Genomic DNA, 22204 nt, shown 5'->3' on the forward strand with positions numbered 1-22204 from the left:
AAAATTTTTTAAAAAAAAGAAAAGAATACACTCTTAATTTTCTTTCCAAATGGATAAGGCCTATTTTTGTTGTTGTTGTTGTGACCTAAGTACTATTTTATTCCCTTGATCATTTTCATGCGCCTCTTTTTCTGAGTCCTTTTATCTTTGCTTTGGTTCATCAACGAAAACTGTATTCACAGATGGGGAATAAACGGTGGAATTCCTTAGAAGCACCGGATTCAGTTTTGTTTCCATGGGACTTAAAGTCTACTTATATCAGATGCCCTTCATTTTTTGATAAACTTGTAAGTACTGTTTTACTATTTGATCTTTTAAAGATTGTTATAAACTAAGAAGTCTTGTAAAGAGTTAAATGCCTTGAACTTTTACCTTCTAGACCAAAGAGCCAATTGCACTCCAGGCTATTGAAAATGCCCATGTCTTATTATATTTGGGAGACTCTGTCACAACAGATCATATATCACCTGCAGGAAGTATCGCTAGGAATAGTGCTGCCGCTAAGTATTTGACAAACAGAGGGTATGTGTACATGGCTTTAGAGTGTTTTTGTTTTTTCTTGTTTCTTACTGATTAAGAGGCTTCTATTGGTCTTGTTCCTTTTTTCCAGTAAATACATGCTATCGTAGGTAATCTGACTGCCAATGTGTTTGTCTTAAGCAAGAATGGAGAGTGGCGGGGTGGGGAGGCGGGGGGTACCTTCTGTACTTGTCTTTGCTTGTGACTTTAGAAAATGAAATTGCAATTTTAAATTGAGCCCTTATAGTCTAAATAAACAGCTGATTGGAAATAAGATTTTTCTTTTTCAGTGCTACTTTATTGAAAAGTCAGCTTGGTTTTACCTACCAAATGAAGCCTGCTCATTTGGTTAAAACCAGCTTCCCATTATTGGAGTAAGGAATTTAAATGTGTATTTTATGGGCTATAACATGTACGTGTGTGAGGCTGGGAATGATATGTACAAATCAAAAGACAATGAATTTCTGCTTCATGAGCCTAAAATTTTATAGGAACAATAAACGTAAAGGCCATTTATATTGGAGATATAAATTTAAAACTGGTAAGATTTCATTTCTACATGATTAATCATGTAGAGTTGCCCTGTTATCAAAGGACTGTTTTGACAATAGAGACAAAGTTTTGTTAAAAGCAGGATTTGTAGTACTGCTACCTGATTAGCTTATTGGATGCTTGTTTGATGCTTGAGTAATTAAAATGACAAGCTTTTTCATTGAAATTTATTTATTTATGTATGTATTTATTTATGTATTTATTTTTGAGACAGACTCACTCTGTCACCCAGGCTGGAGTGCAGTGGTGTGATCTCAGCTCACTGCCACCTCTGCATCCCGGGTTCAAGCAATTCTCCTACCTCAGCCTCCCAACTAGCTGGGATTACAGGCACGCGCCACCATGCCCAGCAAGTTTTTATATTTTTAGTAGAGACAGGGTTTCACCATGTTGGTCAGGCTGGTATCAAACTCCTGACCAAGTGATCCGCCCACCTCGGCCCCCCAAATTGCTGGGATTACAGGCATGAGCAACCGTGCCCAGCCAAAATGTCAATGTAGCTTGTGTTGACATGTGATAATATTGCACAGCTTTTATTATAAAGTGGTGAGAAATAAGTTTCCTTTCCTGTAAATATTTTTTTGGTTGTGATTTCCATCTTCATCATAATTGTGACATACCTCCAAAAAAGAAAAACAGTCAACACTTCTCTCAAATGTACAATTTTTGTAATTATTATGCCTCCTGATATGTATTTCTTAGCACATTTAATCCAGTAGTGCTCATCAATTAGAATTTTCTAAAAATAAAGACACTCAAACCTCCTACCACTCCCATCCTGAAGTAAAAATTTAAATGCACAAATTTAGAATATTGTTGCCTCTGCATAAAAGACCAAATCAGAGGCTGATAAAAGTCAGTTGTTGATTGTTGAGATACTTATGTTCAGTTATTTTTCCCTAAAAAGTTATATATGGTCACTAATCCAGTAGCAATACCCCCCGCACCCAGATTATGATTTCTAAATACTGTTTCCCACTATAGTGAACCAGTGCTTCATGGAGAAATTATTGATTCCAGATCTGGGACTGGAAAATGTACACAATTTTACCAAAAATTACCAAGATTACCAAAAATAAAATTACAAAGATTACCTGATGGTCACAGACCATCAGGCTTCTGTCTAAAGGTCTCAGGGTCAGGACCAGCTCATTAGCTTGAAAACTGGTAAATAATCAATTCTTTAACCAGCCTTTCATGTATGGAATGTATTTCAGCATAACCAAATCATTGATGAAGGAAAGTTTGTCATTTGTTTGTTTGTTTGTTTTTAGAGACAGGGTCTCACTCTTGCCTGGGCTGAAAGGCAGTGGCACTTGGCCCTCTGCTGCTTGGAACTCGTGGGCTCAAGCACTCCTCCTGTCTCACCCTCCTGAGTAGCTTGGGACTACAGGCTCGCACCGTCATGCCTGGATAATTTTTAATTTTTTGTAGAGATGAGATCTCCCTTTGTTGCACAGGCTGGTCTCCAACACATGGGCTCGAGCATTCCTCCCACTTTGGCCTCCCAGAGTGCTGGTATTGCAGGCAAGAGCCAACATACCTGCTGGAAAGTTTTTCTTTATAGAACTTTTGTACCTAAAAAATGAAGAAGGAATGGGTGAATTATAGTATCACTATTTTACGGTCTCTAATAAGCAATCTAGACCACAATGAGCAATCACTGGTAACATTCCAGGAAAAGACAGTTGGCTATCTTGTGCCTCCTAATAGAAGTACATATGACCTATGAAGCATTGTTGCCAAAAATTAAAAACCCAAATCTTATCAAACCACTGGATCTGACATGTGATTTACAAGAACAGAAGGCAGAAGAACATGTTAAATGATTCATGGAGATGCAGTCAACACAATGTGGGTACAGAAAACTATACAAGTAACTTTATTGCATCAGATAGAGCACAAGCAGGAGGAAGGAGAGGGAACATATACTGTCATTCTTCAGTATAGATGTGGGACTGGTTCCAGGACCACCCATGTATACCCAAATCCACACATACTGAATTCCTACAGTCAGCCTTGCAGAAGCCACATATATGAAAAGTCGTATTTGCAGTTTTCTGCATCCTGTGAATAATATATTTTCTGTCAGTGTTTGGTTGAAAAAAAATCGATGTATAAGTGGACCCACACAACTCAAATTCATGTTTAAAGGTCAACTGTAGATTAAAACACTTGAGATCAACTGAACACATTTATGAACTGCATTTGGATCCTGATTTGAACAAACCAACTTAGTTTGGAAATAATCAGTGACAATATTGACTATCTGATGTTAAGAAATTATTGTGATTTTTTTTTTTTGGTGTAAAGATTTTTTTTTAAGAGTCTACATCTTTTAGTGAAATGTACTGAAAAGTATGCTGTTAAAATTATCTCAGTTTTGCTTCAAAATAATCTAATGGGGTTGACTGTAGAAGAAACGGAGCATCTGTTAAGTTATAGCTTGGTGATAGGCGCATGGACATTCATGGTTTTGTTTTCTTTTGTGTTTGAAATTTTCTGTGATAAAAAAATTTTTCAATAGGTCTTACAGCTCAATAGTATGTGATTATTTTCCACATGTAATGAAAACTGACTTTCATTACTTTCTTGTAGCCTTACCCCTCGTGAATTCAACTCTTACGGAGCTCGAAGAGGTAATGATGCTGTAATGACAAGAGGCACTTTTGCAAATATCAAGCTTTTTAATAAGTTTATTGGAAAACCAGCTCCTAAAACAATTCATTTTCCATCAGGACAGACGGTGAGAATGCAAACAAAGTATTTAGACAATTTATAACTGGATCAAAATTTGTATTAAAAAATTTTGTGTTTGTTTTAATCTACAGCTAGATGTATTTGAGGCTGCAGAGCTGTACCAGAAAGAAGGTATCCCACTGATTATTTTAGCAGGAAAGAAATATGGTTCAGGAAACTCCAGAGACTGGGCTGCCAAAGGACCGTATTTACTGGTATTGAATCTTAAAATTTATCATCTTAAGCTTCAAAGAGTTTTAACTGTTCCCTTTTGTCAGTAACATCCTGTCAAAGTTTATCTGGATTTTTTATAGTTATTTGAACCTTATAGGTATAGAGGGTTTTGTTTGTTTGTTTATTTCAGTGATCTTTGGTAATATTTTGTACTCATCTAGTTAGTATCATTTTAATACTCTGAGTTTGGTAAAACCTACATCAGTCTTATGTGAAGAAGTCAGTATAATAGAGGGAAAGGAAATTCTGTTTTAAACTATTGTTTTATAATTATTTATACCTATTGATCATTTTTTTTGGTTTTTTAGTTTTGAGACCATGTCCTTGTCACCCAGACTGGAGTGCAGTGGCGCAATCACTGCTTGCTGCAGCCATGACCTCCCAGGTGCAATCAGTTCTCCTGCCTCAGCCTCCCAAGTAGCTGGGACTACGCCATGAGTTACCACACCTGGCCAATTTTTGTATTGTTTGTAGAGATCGGATCTCTCTATTTTGCTCAGGCTGATCTTGAACTCCTGGGCTCAAGTGATCCTCCCGCTGTGGCCTCCCAGGGTGCTGGGATTACAGGCTTGAGCCATGTGCCCGGCCCCCACTGTTAATTTTACTTGCCTCCTTTTGATTTAATTTTCTCCGATTTGCCCCATCAGTGGGTAAAAGACTCAGAAGTAGTAGGCCAAGTTGCACCTTTTTTCCCCCTAAATAGGAGATTGTGGTGCCTGGCTGTCTGCCAGGAGGACATTTCTCCTGAGACTGTTTCCTTGTTGCAGAGCAAATAGGCCATCTGCTGGGGGGGAATAGTCATGTGACATGTGCTTTTTGCCATTTCATACTCACAGATGCTTCTCTTTACAATTGTAGCTGTAAAAAGGCTGGCTGAAACACAGATACCATGCAGGCCTCATTCTTATTTTAATCTTTAATATCTCCTTTAAAATGTAAATACTCTGAGGGGCTGTGGGAATAAAACAAAATCTCATCCTTCTAAGATACTAATTATAAGTATTATTATGAGTATTAATGATAGGTATAGGTTATTTTTATCCTGGAAATTGTTTTAGTGTTTGTTTTTGATGTTGGAAGCTTTCCTTATATGGCAGGTGATGCTTGGCCCTCCATTTGTTAGACATTAAAAAACTGATTACAAGCCATGGATGGGGGCTGGGTTGTGTCAGTTACTGGGCCTTACTATAGGTGACTGGGTGATAAGCTACCTTTTTCATTAAGCGATTCTATATGTCATTATCTGTATTTTCTCTGAGGCCATTCAGTTTCTTGAAGGAAAGAGACTCGTTCAGTATGTAGACATCTACTTAGTCCCCTGTTTTCAATCTGGTATTCTCAAGCCCCTGTGCCCAGTGTTTGTCAGTTTAGAGAATGTATTCTCTTCCTTATTTCTGCTATAACAAAAAATGAGTAAAAATTTGTAAAAAATGAGTAAAAAAGAACAAAAATTGGTCCTCAGGTGGTAAAAAAAATTCTACTTTTTGCACATAAAGTACAGATAAGAGTACATTAAAAGATACACAGCATCTTTGTGGTACTAAAATTTTGGAGAGAAGGGAGGTGAACAGGAAGACACAATTTGGGGGAAAAAAGTCTTAAAAGACTCCTTAGGTAGACAGTGGAGAAAAAAGTTGAAAAACACAAGTCTAGAGCCTTTGGCTCATTTTTTCCAGAGAATAAACCTCTACTCTTGTGGAGTGGGGATTGAGCTGGATCTTACTGCTTTGTATGGCCTTGTAACCTGTGTCCACGAGTATTCTGAGAACCTCATGCCTCTGAATCTCAATCCTTTTCCTGGGTCTTGTGTTGCACATTAACTCAGACCTTACTGGTATCACTCTCTAATTTCATTTTATCATTCTGCGGTTTCAGCATTGTCTTCTAAATCACTTACCTATCTCTGTTTTCTAAATATTCATAGAATTCTCTCATCCTATTCCCTTTGTTGCTGTGGGCTTATACCCTCTTCATTATTGTTGTTACTTATTTGTATTTTTTGGAGACAGGGTCTCACTCTGTCGTCCAGGCTGGAATGCAGTGGCATGATCTCAGCTCCCTGCAACCTCCACTTACAACCTCAAGTGACTCTCCTGCCTCAGCCTCCATAGTAGCTGAGATTACAGGTGTGCACCACCATGTCCAGCTAATTTTTCTGTTTTTAGATAGAGATGGAGTTTCACCATGTTGGCCAGGCTGGTCTCAAACTCCTGGCTTCAAGTGATCTGCCCACCTCGGCCTCCCATAGTGCTGGCATTACAGGTGTGAGCCACTGCATCCAGCCTATTCTTGTTACTTTTTATTGTATTTTTTATTTTTATGTTTTGTAGAGACAGGGTCTCACTATATTGCCCAGGCTGGTCTCAAACTCCCGGCCTCAAATAATCCTTCTGCCTCAGCCTCCAAAGTACTGGGATTATAAGCATATAAGCCACTGCGCCTGGCCCTATATACCTTCTTTATTCCTTTATTTTAGTGGCATTTCAAGAGTGTTGAAAACATATGTTAGATCTGGCATGTTTAAATAGAAATCCTTCTGAGCCCTACTTTGGGGTCAAGGGAGCCGGCCCATTTATAGAGCTCTTATGATGTGGTAGGCAGCGGCAGTACTTAACCCTAGAGCAGCAGAAAGGGATCCGAATAATTTAGAGAGCTCCATAAAAATTCAGAAAAATAATCTGTAAGAAGGTTCTGTAAATACTTTGATAAAATATTGATTCAGTATGAGATATTAGACTAAAAGTATTTAGAGAAAGGCCAAAGTAGATTTTTGCCCCCTTTAAATGCTCAATAAATAACTTTCAGAAGTGATTAGAGGGAATAAAATGCACATTTATTACAGGGTGTGAAAGCTGTTTTGGCCGAAAGTTATGAAAAAATACACAAAGATCATTTGATTGGAATTGGCATAGCTCCACTTCAGTTCCTTCCAGGAGAAAATGCAGATTCCTTGGGCCTCTCCGGTAGAGAAACATTTTCTTTAACATTTCCTGAAGAACTGTCTCCTGGAATTACATTGAATATACAGGTATCTCTAAATTTTTCAAATATATGATTATGCACTCAAATGTTTATGAATTATTGAATAAGAATCAATTGCTGTAAATTATATACTAATGTCACTTAATGAATGTTAAGTTGCCATTTAAGATGACTCTCTCTTCCATACTTAGATCTAGCTATGTTAATAGTTCATGTTCTCTGAGGAAAAGTGGAAAGAACTGGGTGCTTATACCAGAAAAAAAGAACACATGAAGGGGAATCTTGACTTCCACTTAACAAGTGTCAGCTTTCTTTTCATGGTGGTCATTTTTTTGCTGTCCTGATCTAATTTTAACCGAGGCATACATACCACTCCAAAGAGAGCAAAGTTGAGCGTTCAAAGTTAGAGCAAAACAGACTTTACAACTAAGAAAAAAGGGGAAAGAGTAGGAGTTACTGATTACATGCAATCAATATTTGGTGTAAAATGAATGTGAGTAGTGAGTATAACTTCCCCAATTAATAAGTCAAAATCTAAATGCAGCTATTTTTCTACTTAACTATGAAGCCCATGGTCAGGTATCTCAGGTGTTTTTCAAGCAGCAGCAAAGTTTCAGGCAATCAGAATATAAGAAATTAGAACCAAGATAAATCAGACAGAATCTGTGGCAAGTATAGTCATTAAATATGAAGACAAATGGTCTTAACCATCAAGTAGCACCTGGAAGATTTACTTGCTCACATGAGATGTTTTTGCTCCTTTCAAGACAAGCACTGGAAAAGTATTCAGCGTGATTGCTTCGTTTGAAGATGATGTGGAAATAACATTATACAAACATGGAGGATTATTAAACTTTGTGGCACGAAAATTCTCATAGTATCTACTTACCATAGATACCTTTCATAACTGGTAACTGCAAAGCCTTTTGTGCTGGACCCAGGAATCCTTACCATGGAGCAGCAGATAGTCCCAGTATACTCACTTATCTCATCCATGGATGTAAATGATGATGAATCAACATAGTAACTGAAATGAAATCTTCTTGATTTTAAATAATATACGAATGGTGCTATTAATATTGCTAAAATCAACGTGTGAAGTGTGTTGTGGAAGAGACCTGTAAGTATGGGGGGGGGGCGATATTTTATCAGACCATTTTGTAAATAAAGGCAGAATTTGTGTTGAAGATTCTTATATGAATAACCTTCCTGGATTTGTTTAGTTTTGCACCAATAAAACTGTGTACTACTGTTTGTTGGTTTAAGAGTAGCAGATTGAAATATAAGAAGCCAGATTAGACTCTAAAATTGTGGCCATTGGAATCTCATTTATAAATGGACCTTTTAAGTATATTAATTCCTCTTCAGAATTGAGCTGGACACATTTGGCATTCTTAGTTTGTCATATAACCAGGTTTATCCTTAGTCTAACTGCAAGGGATGGAACCTGCCCCAGGTCACAATCATTCTGTCCAATCCAGCCAAGGTTCCCTCCACATATGAAGATGGACCATGGCAGGATACAACTGATTGTGTGGCACCATGTATTAGCAGTGGGAATATGTATCACATATGATGCAGCCTTTCATATTTCAGCAGTTTGCCACTGTGACTGTCTGGCAAGCCCCCAGATGGCGTTATATTAATTGGATTAGATTATTTTGCTCACCTTATGTAATACTGTAACTTCCTATAACCTAATATTTTCGGTATCATTAACCAAAATTTCACACTCATAGTTGCTAAAGAGAATGTTATTCAATCATTAAACTCTGAACTGATTTCTTCTATACATTTAAATTATCCACCCTCAATAATACGGGTGCTCAACCCTATGCATTTTTTAAGTGTTGCTATTTCTTAATTAAATTGATTTCCTGTCATTTTGAATCATTTATCACCTGCGATGCATGATTCTATTAATTTTGTTATGTTACTGTTTTAACCAAAGCTGACCGTAAGGATAAAACACTTAAGTTGTTGCTGAGTACTATATATCCTCAATATGCATGTCTGCCCATCACATCAAATGTTCTGTCAACAAGATGTTTGGTAATTTTTTTTAAAAAGGTTGGAAAATTAATTATAGAAGGTTCTATACTGTTTTTTTAATTAAGAAACTAAGTCTAGCAGGCTAAAGGTTAATTGTAGTGATTTTTTTTCACATAGATATCTTTCTATGACCTAGTTAGTTACTGCAATTCAGAATTAGTTCACATTGCATAAAGAATTACTTGTTGTAAGCAAAATGCTGAAACTACCAAACCAGTGGATGAAGACCACTAAGAACTTTGCACATAATCATACAATCTTTTGAAAATATTTTGCAAATATGTGTTTAGACAATAAGATGGACTAGAGTTCGACAAAATGATTTCTTTATTTAAATTTTGTATAAGTATTTTCTTCGACACTTTCAAATTATATTGTGTTCTTGATATATGCTGTATATTTATTTGTTAGTGCATGTGTTTTTAATTTACATGAAAACATGAGTTAGGAGAAATTACAGGTTGAAAGATGAAATGCCTGTATGTGCTCTGAAGAAATGGTAATTCCAGATTGTGCAGGGGGAAACAAATCTATTTTGTTTTGTTTTGTTTTTTGAGACGGAGTCTTGCCCTGTGGCTGGGCTGGAGTGCAATGGCGCGATCTTGGCTCACTGCAACCTCCGCCTCCCGGGTTCAGGGGATTCTCCTGCCTCAGCCTCCTGAGTAGCTGGGACTACAAGCATGCACCACCACGCCCAGCTAATTTTTGTAGTTTTAGTAGAGATGGGGTTTCACCATGTTGGCCAGATGATCTGAATCTCTTGACCTCGTGATCCGCCCGCCTTGGCCTCCACAAGTGCTGGGATTACAGGTGTGAGCCACCACACCCGGCCTATATTGTTTTGAAAGCATACTCTATATATAGTTATGGGCAGAGGCACAGGCATCCTCAGCAGCTGATTCAGGAGATGATGGTAAAGCTAGCTAACTATGAATTAAACATTCACATATCCAGTCTACCTGGTCCAGTAATAATACAAGCAAATCTTGTATTTCAGGAACAAATCAAGGTTCTCTTAATTTTTTGGCTTATATACAATGAAGTAAAAACTTGATAAACATGGTTTCAAATTGAGGAGGAGAGTCTTGGATGTATGTTTTAATATGTATACCTTATAATTCTGCCTCTAGCCAAATGCTATGTTTGCAAAATGTGGCATCTGTTAGTTTTTATTGTCTGTGTCTTCTTTGTTTACTATACCTTGGGTAATTTTGTGTTACCAAAAAAAAAAAAAAAAAAAGGAAGTGTAATGTCAGACACACAAGAAAAGCAAATCAGTGTTGTAAGCTTAAAGTACAATTTCAAAGGTCACTACCAACAGCAGGGTTTTTTTTATACTTTGAAAACATTATGCTACATATCATTGCCATTTTCATATTTTGGGGTTTTGCTACTCTTATACAATGGAATCAATGGAAATGTCATCCAGCCACTGAATTGCCATTATTATATCTAAAAAGTTTCTAAGATGACAGTTATCACTATTTTGTTTTATCTCCATGCTGACATTTGAAAGAAGGTACTAGTATCCCTCTAGCCAGATTGCTTAGTTTTTCGTTGGTAATCAAACAACAGTTGTACTAAAGGAAAGTAAAGCTAGGACCTAAATCAGAATCATAGTTGCCTGCATATATGGTAACAAGGTCGTGTGCATTTGCTTTCACAGTGATGAGTGAGAGGATGAGAAGAAATTATTTGACATTTTTCTGTGGTTGAATAGAAGACACCTTTCTTTTGTCTTTAGGTTTAGGAGGAGATACTAAGATACTGGATGTTTATCCTATCTTAGTTTGGTTGGAGTAATAAGAGAGAAGAAGAGGGTGGACTTTGGCTTTTCAGTGTTTTTTCCCCTAAAGAGTGATATTGCTGACGTTTCTATCAATTTTACACATAATATGTGGCTATGAAACCATATATCTCACTTAAGTAACAAAGTAATCACTTTGTCTATCACTAAGTAATAGACAAAAATCATTGTCTATTATTTAAAGCCAACAAAACAGTGTAACAGTTTTAAGTTCAATAATGTTAAGTATTGTATAGAAATATATTGGAGGCAAAGTTCAGTTGATGACAATTGTGTATATGTTACTGATGCTGTAAATTATTTTTAATAAAGAAAATTGTATTATCACATTTGATTCTTGTTCTGTTTTGTAGTAGTTGAAAATAAAACAACATGATGTAAAAAATATGCTGCCATCCGGCTGGGCACGGTGGCTCACGCCTGTAATCCCAGCACTTTGGGAGGCCGAGGCAGGCGGATCACGAGGTCAGGAGATCGAGACCATCCTGGCCAACACAGTGAAACCCTGTCTGTACTAAAAATACAAAAAAATTAGCCGGACATGATGGCGGGCGCCTGTAGTCCCAGCTACTTGGGAGGCTGAGGCAGGAGGATAGCATAAACCCGGGAGGCAGAGTTTGCAGTGAGCAGAGTTCACGCCACTGCACTCCAGCCTGGGCGAAACAGTGAGACTCTGTCTCAAAAAAAAAAAAAAAAAGCAAAAATGAAATGTCCCGCCATCCAGATGCCATCCAGGAGCAGCTGAGGATGCCTGCTCCCTGTGCTGCCCGTTCATTAGTGTTCATGAAACAAGTCATCGGAAGCTGGGAGCCAGGATCCCAGGTGTATTTGTTTGTTCTCGCATTGGTATAAAGAAATGCCTGAGACTGGGTAATTTATTTTAAAAAGAGGTTTAATTGGCTCATGGTTCTGCAGGATGTACAGGAAGCATGATGCTGGCATCTGCTTGGCTTCTGGGGAGGCCTCAGGAAACTTACAATCAAGGTGGAAGATTAAGTGGGAGCAAGCACTTCACGTGGCCAGAGCAGGAGGAACAGAGAGACAGGGGAGGTGCCACACACTTTTAAACAACTAGATCTCAGGAGAACTCACTATTGGGACAACACCAAGGGGGATGGTGTTAAACCATAAGAAACCACCCCCATAATCCAGTCACCTCCCACCAGGCCCCACCTCCAACACTGGGGATTACAATCCGACATGAGATTTGGGCGGGGACACTCATCCAAAAAGACGTATCCTTTCTTCCCACTATTATTAGCAACCTAAAAGAGTAAGGTTTATTTCTTAGAATTCAGTAATCATAAACCATAATTGGCACTTTATTAGAATTTTCTAAGGATTCCAATTTAGTATTCTAAGAAGTTTGCATTACCTAAAGGCTAATACCAACATAGGCACAAGCTGATAGTTTGAATATGCAGTCTAGGAGGAAACTTAAGAGCTTCATCAGTGTAGCATTTAGTTGGTTTACAGTTTTCACTTGATGCTAATTTTGCTTTTTAATTACAAAGTAGCTTCAGATTTACCATTTTGATTTGATGTATGTTGTAAACCTGTGTTCTGTACTTGAAAAATGCATTTATTGCAAAAGCAGATGCATATGTAATTCTCACAAAATTTGCTGGTATAATGACAAGTGTGGCCAGGCGAGGTGGTTCACACTTTGGGAGGCCAAGGCAGGAGGCAGGAGGATCACTTGAAGTCAGGAATTTGACCCCACCCTGGGCAACATAGCAAGACCCTGTTTCTTAAAAAATAATAATAATTAGTTTGGTGTGGTGCTGTGCACCTGTAGTCCCAGCTAGTTGGGAGGCTGAGGCAGGAGGATCGCTTGAGCCTAGGTTGAGGCTGCAGTGAGCTATGATTTATGCCACTGCACTCCAGCCTGGGTGACAGCAAGACCCTGTCTTTTAAATAAGTGTGTTGTCACTGTGAATTTTGTGTTTATGTGGTGTTAGTACTGAATTTTAAGCATTTTTTTCAGTATTTCCCTATCAATATCTATATGATCTGTGGCAGGGTCCCTTTTTATTACCAATATTGGTAATTTGTGTTTTCTTTTTTTTCCTTGATTAGTCTTTCTAAAGGGTTAGAAATTGAGTTAATTTTTTAAAGAGCCAATTTTTTACATTATTTTCTCCATTGTTTTCTGGTTTTTTGTTTGGTTTTGGTTTTGGATTTTTTTTTTTTTTTTTTCTTTTTGAGACGGAATCTGGCTCTGTTGCCCAGGCTGGAGTGCAATGGTGCGATCTCGGCTCACTGCAACCTCCACCTCCCGGGTTCAAGTGATTCTCCTGCCTCAGCCTCCCGAGTAGCTGTGATTACAGGCATGCGCCACCATGTCTGGCTAATTTGTTTTGTATTTTTAGTAGAGACGGGGTTTCACCATGTTGGCCAGGGTGGTCTCAAACTCCTGACCTTGTGATCCGCCCACCGGGGCCTCCCAAAGTGCTGGGATTACAGGCATGAGCCACCGTGCCCGGTTTGTTTTGTTTTATTGGTTTCTGCTCTGAAGTATTTCCTTTCTGTTACTTATTTAATTTCCTCCTTTCCCCCAGCTTTGTAACACTTTTCCTCCAATGTAAATGTAAATATTTAAATTTTCCTCTAAGTGCTGCTTTAGCTGTAGCCCACCGTGGAAACTAAAGCCAATTTTGAGCATTTTAAACAACTTGTAATATATAAAGGAAGTATCATAAAACTGCTGGGATATTGTTTTATGAGACATTGTTTTATAATGTAAAATCATGTCCATAATCTCACTGCAAATTGTTCATTTTGTTTCACTCCAGTTTTGTTTTTTTTTTTTTTTTATCGCTGAGCTCTTTTTTAAAAAAATTATAAAAATAGAGGTGGGGGTCTCACTGTGTTGCCCAGGCTGGTCTTGAACGCCTGGCCTCAATCAGTCCTCCCACCTCAGCCTCCCAGACTGCTGGGATTACAGGCATGAGCCACCATGACCAGCCACTGAGCTATGTTTGAGAGCAACTACTTAAAAGTGCTCCAGTAGCCAACTGAAGAAACGTTAATACAATGACATGACATTTTTCCCCCCTAGAAACGGGTCTCACTATGTGGCCCAGGCTGACCTCGAACTCCTGGGCTCAAGCACTTTTCCTGCCCAAGCCTCCTGGAGTAGCTGGGACTATAGACATGCAACACCATGCCCCGCTTAAAATGACATATCTGGCCGGACACGGTGGCTCACACCTGTAATCCCAGCACTTTGGGATGCCAAGGCGGGCGGATCACGAGGTCAGTTCGAGACCAGCCTGGCCAACATAGTGAAACCCCGTGTCTACTAAAAATACAAAAATTAGCTGGGTATGGTGGCATGTGCCTGTAGTCCCAGCTACTCGGGAGGCTGAGGCGGGAGAATCGCTTGAACCCAGGAGGCGGTGGTTGCAGTGAGCTGAGACCGCACTGTTGTACTCCAGGCTGGGCGACAGAGCAAGACTCTGTCTCAAGAAAAAAAAAAAAAATGACAACGCATCTTGTCTTACATTGGTGGAACTTTTTAAAATGTTGTAAATGTTGTAAATGTTTAAAATCCAATGTTGGTATTATTGAGAGGAAAACATGATTTGACAACATGTATTAAGAGGCTTAGACCGGGTGCAGTGGCTCACGCCCCTAATCCCAACATTTTGCCAGGCTGAGGTGGGAGGATTGCTTAACCCAGGAGTTCAAGACCAGCCTGGGAAACATGGCGAAACCCGTCTCTACAAAAAATTAGCCGGACGTGGTGATGCGCACCTGTAGTCCCAGCTACTCGGGAGGCTGAGGTGGGTGGATCCCTTGACCCCAGGAGGCGGAGGTTGCAGTGGGCTGAGATCACGCCACTGCACTCCCGAGTGACAGAGTGAGACCCTGTCTCAAAAAATAAAAAGGCCTTAAAAGTGTTTATTCTCTTATACCTAGTAATATGATGCTGAGCAGTTTTAAACACATAAAGTGCACGAAAGATTTATGTATGAGGATATTATTATTTTTTTTTTTTTTTGAGACGGAGTCTCGCTCCGTCGCCCAGGATGGAGTGCAATGGCGCGATCTCGGCTCACTGTAAGCTCCGCCTCCTGGGTTCACACCATTCTGCTTCAGCCTCCCGAGTAGCTGGGACTCTAGGTGCCCGCCACCATGCCCGGCTAATTTTTTTGTATTCTTAGTACAGACGGGGTTTCACCGTGTTAGCCAGGATGGTCTCGATCTCCTGACCTTGTGATCCGCCTGCCTCGGCCTCCCAAAGTGCTGGGATTACAGGCGTGAGCCACCGCGCCCGGCCGAGGATATTCTTTAAAACAAGGAAATGGTCACTTAAAGTGAAAAAGGCAATTTACAAAGTACATTTTTTTTTTTCTTTTTTGAGACAGTATTGCTCTGTCATGCAGGCTGGAGTGCAGTGGTGCGATCTCGGCTCACTGCAAACTCCATCTCCCAGGTTCAAGCGATTCTCCTACCTCAGCCTCCTAGGAGCTGGGATTACAGGCGCTAGCCACCACGCACGGCTAATTTTTGTCTTTTTAGTAGAGATGGGGTTTCACCATGTTATCCAGGCGGGTCTCAAACTCCTGAACTCAAGTAAGCCACCTCCATCGGCCTCCCCAAATGCTCGGATTACAGGCGTGAGCCACCACACCCTACCAAATACTATATTTCAGAAGAATTCAGGGAGTGGAAATGCACATACCAAAGAGGGCAGTTGTGGATCCAATAGCCCTGCCTCCAATTCTCACAATTTCCAGATTCAATCTTAATTCCCATTCCCTCATCCCAAGAGAAGTAGAGAAAGACCAGTAGAGCTGGAATAATGACAGGTGGAAATAACTCAGAAGCCACTCAAGGCAAAAAGCATGCAGAGGGGCCTAAGGGAGCCAATAGGATTCCAATTCTGGTTACAGAAAAATCCAAGTCAAAATCACTCTTTGACAATCTAAAGGAATGAGATATTAATTATGTTCCCCTGGGGTTGTGAAAAACAGCCCTGCCTTTTGGAGATTAGAAGTGAAGCAGGTAAGAACCATATCTAAAGCAGGAGAAGAAGCTTCCCTCAGTAGGTGGTTGATAGGGGTCTGGGAATCATCCAAGTTAATCAGGGTGACTATAGATAATCCGAGTGTGTTATATCCTGACAGAAAACAAAGGGTGGATGTGCATTGGCAAAAACAAAATAAGAAACCAATTTGCAGGCATGAGTGGACCAGTACCCAGGACTCTCTTCCAGTAGCCTACAGTAGATAGAGGGCTCTGACTTATCGGAGAAGTCCTGCTTGGCTGGAGAAGGGCATCAAGCTGTTTATCAGCGCCTCATGCCCTTAACAGTTAAGACCATCCAACTAACCTGGCTGTTACTCCATGAATCTCGTGCAGCTTTCTGAAAATCATGGGGTCTCTGCGGACTTTCCTGCAGAAAGAGAGCCCACTGATTCCACTACCTAGATAAAGGCGTGGTGGTGGGCCCCTGTAATCCCAACTACTCGGTGTAAGAATTAAAGAAAGAGGAAAGAAACACGAAAAGTGGCTTGGTGGTCATAAGAGGTTTATTTTAGAGAAAACCTGAGAGGGGCGTCTGGCCAAGTTAGGTCAGAGGCACACTCTCTTACAGACTAAGTAAGTTTTTAAGGATTCGGAGTGGGAGAGTTTATCAGAGGCTTGGACTGCTTCTGTGTCTCTTTGTTGTGCTTATCTCGGAGGGAGAGTTGTGTGTCTGTTCCCATACATCTTTCTGCAGCTGCAGACATACCCCCTGAGTCTAATTTTTGTATTTTTAGTAGAGAGGGGTTTCACCATGTTGGCCAGGCTGGTCTCGAACTCCTGACCTCAGGTGATCCTCCCGCCTCGGTCTCCCAAATTTCTGGGATTACAGGCGTGAGCCATCTGCGCCCTGCCTAAACTGTTCGGGTTCTAACATTCCAGCATCCTCCTGCGGAACGCAGCCAGGCCTTACTCAGGCCTTCCAATCAGGACCCTTACAGTTCCTGGGGCTGGGATTGCGAGTCTCTCTGGGGCCACGCTTTCTAAGCGTATCACTTCCAGGATACGTGCCTCCAACAGAAGGAATGAAGGCTAGGAAACAAAAACGTGGATGCGGGTGAGGAGCTGTCAGTGTTACCGCCACGACAACGTGGACCCTGCGAAACTCGGAGGTGCCACTCAAGAGCCGAAAGCCTGCCCACTCGGGGTGGGGCGGCAACCCGGAGAGCCAATCAGGAATAAGGAGTCCGGTTCATGAAAAGGTAGCCGGATTCTGACTGGGATACTCACTGTGAGAAGGCTGGGCGGAGTTGCAGAAAGTCAACAGAAGCCGAATCTCTGAATTTCTGTTCGCAGCCTCCTAGGCGGGGCCGGGAAAAAAATCCAGTAGTCTGCGCTGACTGGGCGGCGAGGGACCGGGAGGAGCCAATCAGAAGTCAGGACTCGCGGGGCTTGGAGGAGGGGCGCGGGCGCTGCGGCCCCTGCTCTACCTCCTAGCGCCGGTGCGCGGCCGAGGCCGCACTACCTGTCTGCGGGAAAGCGGGATCCACCCCAGGACGTCGGGTCGCTGCCGGTGAGCCAAGGAGGGGGAAGCAGAGACGAGCCCTGCGTCCCCGCTGCGGGAGTCGGGGTCGCCCCCGAGGGCAGGGAGGCTCGCTGCAAGTGTGGAGCCGGGAGTCCTATGCCTCAGGCTCCTCCAGCCCGCGCTATCCTCAGCTCGCTGCGTGCGTGATGGGCAAGTCACCCTTCTTCCCGGACCTCACCTGTAACCTAGGAGGGCTGAGCTGGGCCCCCAGAATGAAAGCGTGGCACCCGAGAAGCTGTCGAGGCCAGCCCTCCCGGGTCTGTGTGGGGTCGCTGGCCGAGGGCTGTGCCGGCGCCTGGCCGGTGTCTACTGGGAGCAGTCTCTGAGCTCCGCTGAACCTCACTTACTCATGCGCCCTCCTCCTCTCTTTTCCTGCCTCTTGGTTCAGCAGCCCCTCTGCAGCCCGCTCACCCACCACTTTTTCCCCTTCACCCACCAGGAAGACCCTTAAAAGCACCTAGTAATGCACTGTTGTCTTTGAAAAACTGCAGATGCTAGATTCCCCACCTTTCTGTTTCATGATCCCCTTGGGGTTGAACTGCCCCGTGAGTCTGTGGAATGAAGGTCACCCTTGGTTCACCATTTAATATTAAATAAGGGACTAGCCTAGGGGCTGAGAATACAGAGATTGACTGGGTATAATCCCTTGGAAGGACGCAGCAAAAGGGAATGTAGGAGAAGAAAGGTAGAGTTGGAAGACATGCTAAGGTAGAATTTACTAGACTTTGTTACACGTTGGGAGTGAGGGACAGGAAAGAATCAAGAATGACTCCTGTTTCTTGTCTGGTATACTTTGCACAAAGTACAGAGCTTAAGTTCCAGCCCCCTCCCGGCTGCAGGACAAAGGTGGTGAGATTCTGACGCAGATCTTGGAGTTGGAAATCACACTTGCTTCCTGCGGGCTTTTTCAGGAGCTAAATACTGTTGGCCGGATATATAGACCAACAGCCTATAGTACCTGAATTCCTCCTCTCCCTTTCAATGAAGTAGGAAAAAAAGTTAATAATTTTTAAAAATGTGTGAGTGGGCAACATAGCGAGACACTGTCTCTAAAAAAATAAAAATAATAAAATCAAAAAGACAGCCATGATGGCTTGCACCTGTAATCCCAGCACTTTGGGAGACCAAGGTAGGAGGATTGCTTGAGCCCAGAAGTTCGAGACCAGCCTGGGCAACATAGTGGGACCCTCTCTCTCCAAAAAAAAAAAAAAAAAAAAGGCCAGGCATGGTGGCACCTGCCTGCAGTCCCAGCTATTTGGGAAGCTCAGGTGGGAGGATCCCTTGAGCCCAGGAGTTGGAAGCTGCAGTAAGCAGTGATTGTGCCACTGTACTCCAGACTGGGTGACAGAGACCTTGTCTCAAAAACAAAAAAAAAAAAATTCCCCTCCATACAAAGGAGACATTTGGTTAAGACAGACATGTCTGATAAACATATTTTTTTCTTTGTTTTTATTTACTCTCAAGAGTTGACTTGATCTGTGCCATTAGTTCTATGATATGGAGCGCTTATATAAAGAAAAAAGGCGAACTTAAAGAACTTTAGTGGCATGGAATACTAGAGCTAGAGGAGACTTTTAGTAATAATCTAATCCAACTCTGTTTTAGAGGAGACATGACTAGTCCAGAGTTTCAGAGGTTAGGTAGCAGAACTGGGACTAAAATATGTCCTATTTCTCCCAGCACAGCCTTTTATTACATCAGTCTATTTGGATGGCCAGAGCTAACAACCTTGCTTTACATGGCTATGGAAAACAGCGCTCTCCTAAGAGGAGCTTAACAAGTCAAAGATTGTATGGGAACATCTGGAATAGAAAGGAGATTGGCCTTCACCAGTTGCCTCTAAGGTTCCTTACAACTTTAAGAACTTATCATTCATTTCAAATTCAGAATTGTTCTGACATCGTTAACGCTTTGGGAGTTGAAAATGACTCCAGGATTTCATCTTGGAGTTAATGCTTCAGTCCATATTGCATTTTGAATACTTACCTTATACCAGTTTACATATCTCCAGAAAGAATGTTAAAATTCCTTGTAAAGTTTTAAGCCTAAATACAGTGTGACAGGATATGTTGGTTCCCAGAAGTTTCAAGTGCAAAGATTGTTTTGAAACTCCATTTAGGCTTTGTCACAGTACCTTCAGTGAACAAAATCTGAACGGCTTAACTTGCTTCTGAAAGCAAATGCCTGGTTAGAAAGTAAACAGGAAACATGATTGTCAAGAAGGCATTAACTTGCAGTAACAGGTGATGGAAACCGATCAGTGGCACAAGCTATGCAAGTTAAGAGGCTGGAGCAATCACTTTGGGTAGGAGGATCAGGGAAGGCCATGGCAGGGGCTAGGGGGTGGTTAGCGTTTGAGGGTTACCTCTCCCTTATTTTCTCTTCTCTTTTTTTTTCTTTCTTTCTTTTCTTTCTTTCTCTCTCTCTCTTTCTTCTTTCTTTTCTTTCTTTCTTTCTTTCTTCTTTCTCTTGCTCTCTCTTCTCTCTTTTCTTTCTTTTCTTTACTTTTCTTTCTTTTTGATGGAATTTTGGTCTTTCGCCCAGGTTGGAGTGAAGTGACGCAGTCTCATCTCACTGCAACCTCCACCCCTCTGGGTTCCAGTGATTCTCCTGCCGCAGCCTCCTGAGTAGCTGGAATTATAGGCGCCGGCCACCATGCCCGGCTAATTTTTTTTTTATTTTTATTTTTATTTTTAGTAGAGATGGGGTTTCGCCATGTTGGCCAGGCTGGTCTCAAACTCCTGACCTCAGGTGATCCACCCACCTCAGCCTCCCAAAGTGGTGGGATTACAGGCGTGAACCACTGTCTTTACCTACCCTTATTTTAACTTGAGTCATCAGGCCATAGTCCTAGGACTGAGGCAGGGAGGGGGTCATATAGGAGATTTCTGGTATATCTCCCTGAATGTTATCCCCTTTCCCTCACTGGAGTTAGGTGGGTTTTTGCTATGATACAGCCAAATAAATTAGGCATTAACAGGCATATGGTCTGATTTTTAGAGTTCCAAGAAAGTCCTAAGATCCACCTCCTCTGTCCTAGCCAATTTCTCAGAAGCGCTCTTTCTTTTTTAGAGGTAAATTTTACATTCAGTGATATTCACAGATCTTACTAGTTTACTTAGGTTTTAAGTTAAGTTTTGACAAATGTAAGCCATGTCGCCAAAGCCTAATCAAGATGTAGAACACTTGCCTCTCAGAAAGTTCTCTCATGCCCCTTCCCTGTCAGAAGCAATACATCTTCCACTTTCCACAAAAGCTAACTCTTCATGAGATTCTTTTTTTTTTTTTTTTTTTTTTTTTTAAATAGAGAAGCGGGTCTCATTATGTTGCCCAGACTAGTCTCGAACTCCTAGCCTTGAGTGTTCTCCCACCTTGGCTTCCCAAAGTGCTGGCTGGGATTACAGGTATGAGCCACTGTGCCCAGCCCATAAGATTATTTTTATATAGTACTGTATCCCCTGAACAGCAATCAAAACATACCCTAAAATGCAGCTCACCCTCACGATGTTATCAATTATTTACAACTTAGTATGAAAGAAGGATTAGAATAAAACTATTTTGGGAAAACAGCATGAGATTCTAACGACCTTAAATATTTGGTTCCTGAAGCATGTTCAGAAGACCTACATTGTCTTTCATATGTAGCTGGATGCTCAGAAAATATACCAGGTGTGGGTAGCAGAGGGTGGAATTACCAAGAGAAAGAAAACAGTCTCCTCCCCCGCCCATGTATCCAAATCATACTTAAAAATTCAAGGCCCAGCGTGGTGGCTCATGCCTGTAATCCCAGCACTTTGGGATTACAAAGCAGAGGCAGGCAGATCACTTAAGCCCAGAAATTCAAGACCAGCCTGGCCAACATGGTGAAAGCCTGTCTCTGCAAAAAATACAAAAAATTAGCCTGATATGGTGGCTTCTGTAGTCCCAGCCACCTAGGAGGCTGAGGTTCAGGATCATTGAGCCTGGTGGTTGAGGCTGCAGTGAGTTGTAGTCATGCTATTGCACTCCAGCCTGGGCGACAGAGCAAGACCCTGTCTGAAAAAAATAAAAAAAAAAAAATCAATTCAGGCCAGGTCCAGTGGCTCACACCTGTAATCCCAGCACTTTGGGAGGCGTAAGTGGGAGGATCGCTTGAGACCAGGAGTTTGAGACCAACCTGGGCAACAAAGTGAGACCCCCATCTCTATCTTTAAAGATAAAAATTCAAATCTATCTTCTCAAGAATGTCTTCCCTTAGGCTGTAGTAATTTCTCTCCCTCTCAGCTTCTGTCACAGTTTTGGCAGATATTAATTTCATAGGTCACAAACTCAAATGTAACTTTATTTTTTGTAATTGACCTTAATTTTAATTTTAAGCCCCTATTCCTCTCAGCAGTGGAAAACATATTCTTTACAATTTAAGGTAAACTCAGTCACTTCAGTGTTGATTCAGTCATTTCAGGTTAATACGTATAGTTAATACAGGGTTTTCTTTGGTTCTCTGGCCTTATCTCCTCCAGTGACTCACACAATACTTAGCTCATCAGTCTACATTTTTCTATTTGAAATATGTGTAATAAATTAGATGATCTTATAATTTAACCAAACTGTTACTATAAAAGATCACTGTATTTGAATTTATTGTTTAACCTAAGACGGTAGGAATATAGTCAAAAGGACATAATCATGGATTAGAAGTCTGGAGAGCTGAATTCTTTTTTTCTTTTTTTTCTTTTTCTTTTTTTTTTTTTTTTTTTGAGATGGAGTCTCGCCCTGTTGCC

The 22204-nt window shown here is 41.1% G+C and overlaps 2 protein-coding genes across 6 annotated transcripts in view; both read left to right on the top strand.

Annotated features, from left to right (window-relative positions):
* The window catches only part of IREB2 (iron responsive element binding protein 2), a 64023-nt gene extending 52809 nt beyond the window's left edge, over positions 1–11214 (top strand). For all 4 annotated transcript variants that reach the window (NM_001354994.2, NM_004136.4, NM_001320941.2 and 1 more), the window contains 6 exons: positions 183–287; positions 380–522; positions 3670–3817; positions 3903–4025; positions 6887–7072; positions 7794–11214. In NM_001354994.2, coding sequence (NP_001341923.2) covers positions 183–287; positions 380–522; positions 3670–3817; positions 3903–4025; positions 6887–7072; positions 7794–7904 — 816 coding nt within the window. In that variant the 3' untranslated portion in view covers positions 7905–11214. The remainder of the gene's footprint in view (positions 1–182; positions 288–379; positions 523–3669; positions 3818–3902; positions 4026–6886; positions 7073–7793) is intronic.
* Positions 11215–17337: 6123 nt separating this feature from the next.
* HYKK (hydroxylysine kinase) overlaps positions 17338–22204 on the top strand; it is a 29797-nt gene continuing 24930 nt past the window's right edge. For both annotated transcript variants that reach the window (NM_001083612.2, NM_001013619.4), the window contains exon 1: positions 17338–17432. The gene's annotated coding sequence lies outside the window, so the exon portion shown is untranslated. The remainder of the gene's footprint in view (positions 17433–22204) is intronic.

This window comes from Homo sapiens, chromosome 15, assembly GCF_000001405.40.
Source record: "Homo sapiens chromosome 15, GRCh38.p14 Primary Assembly".
Taxonomy (NCBI): domain Eukaryota; kingdom Metazoa; phylum Chordata; class Mammalia; order Primates; family Hominidae; genus Homo; species Homo sapiens.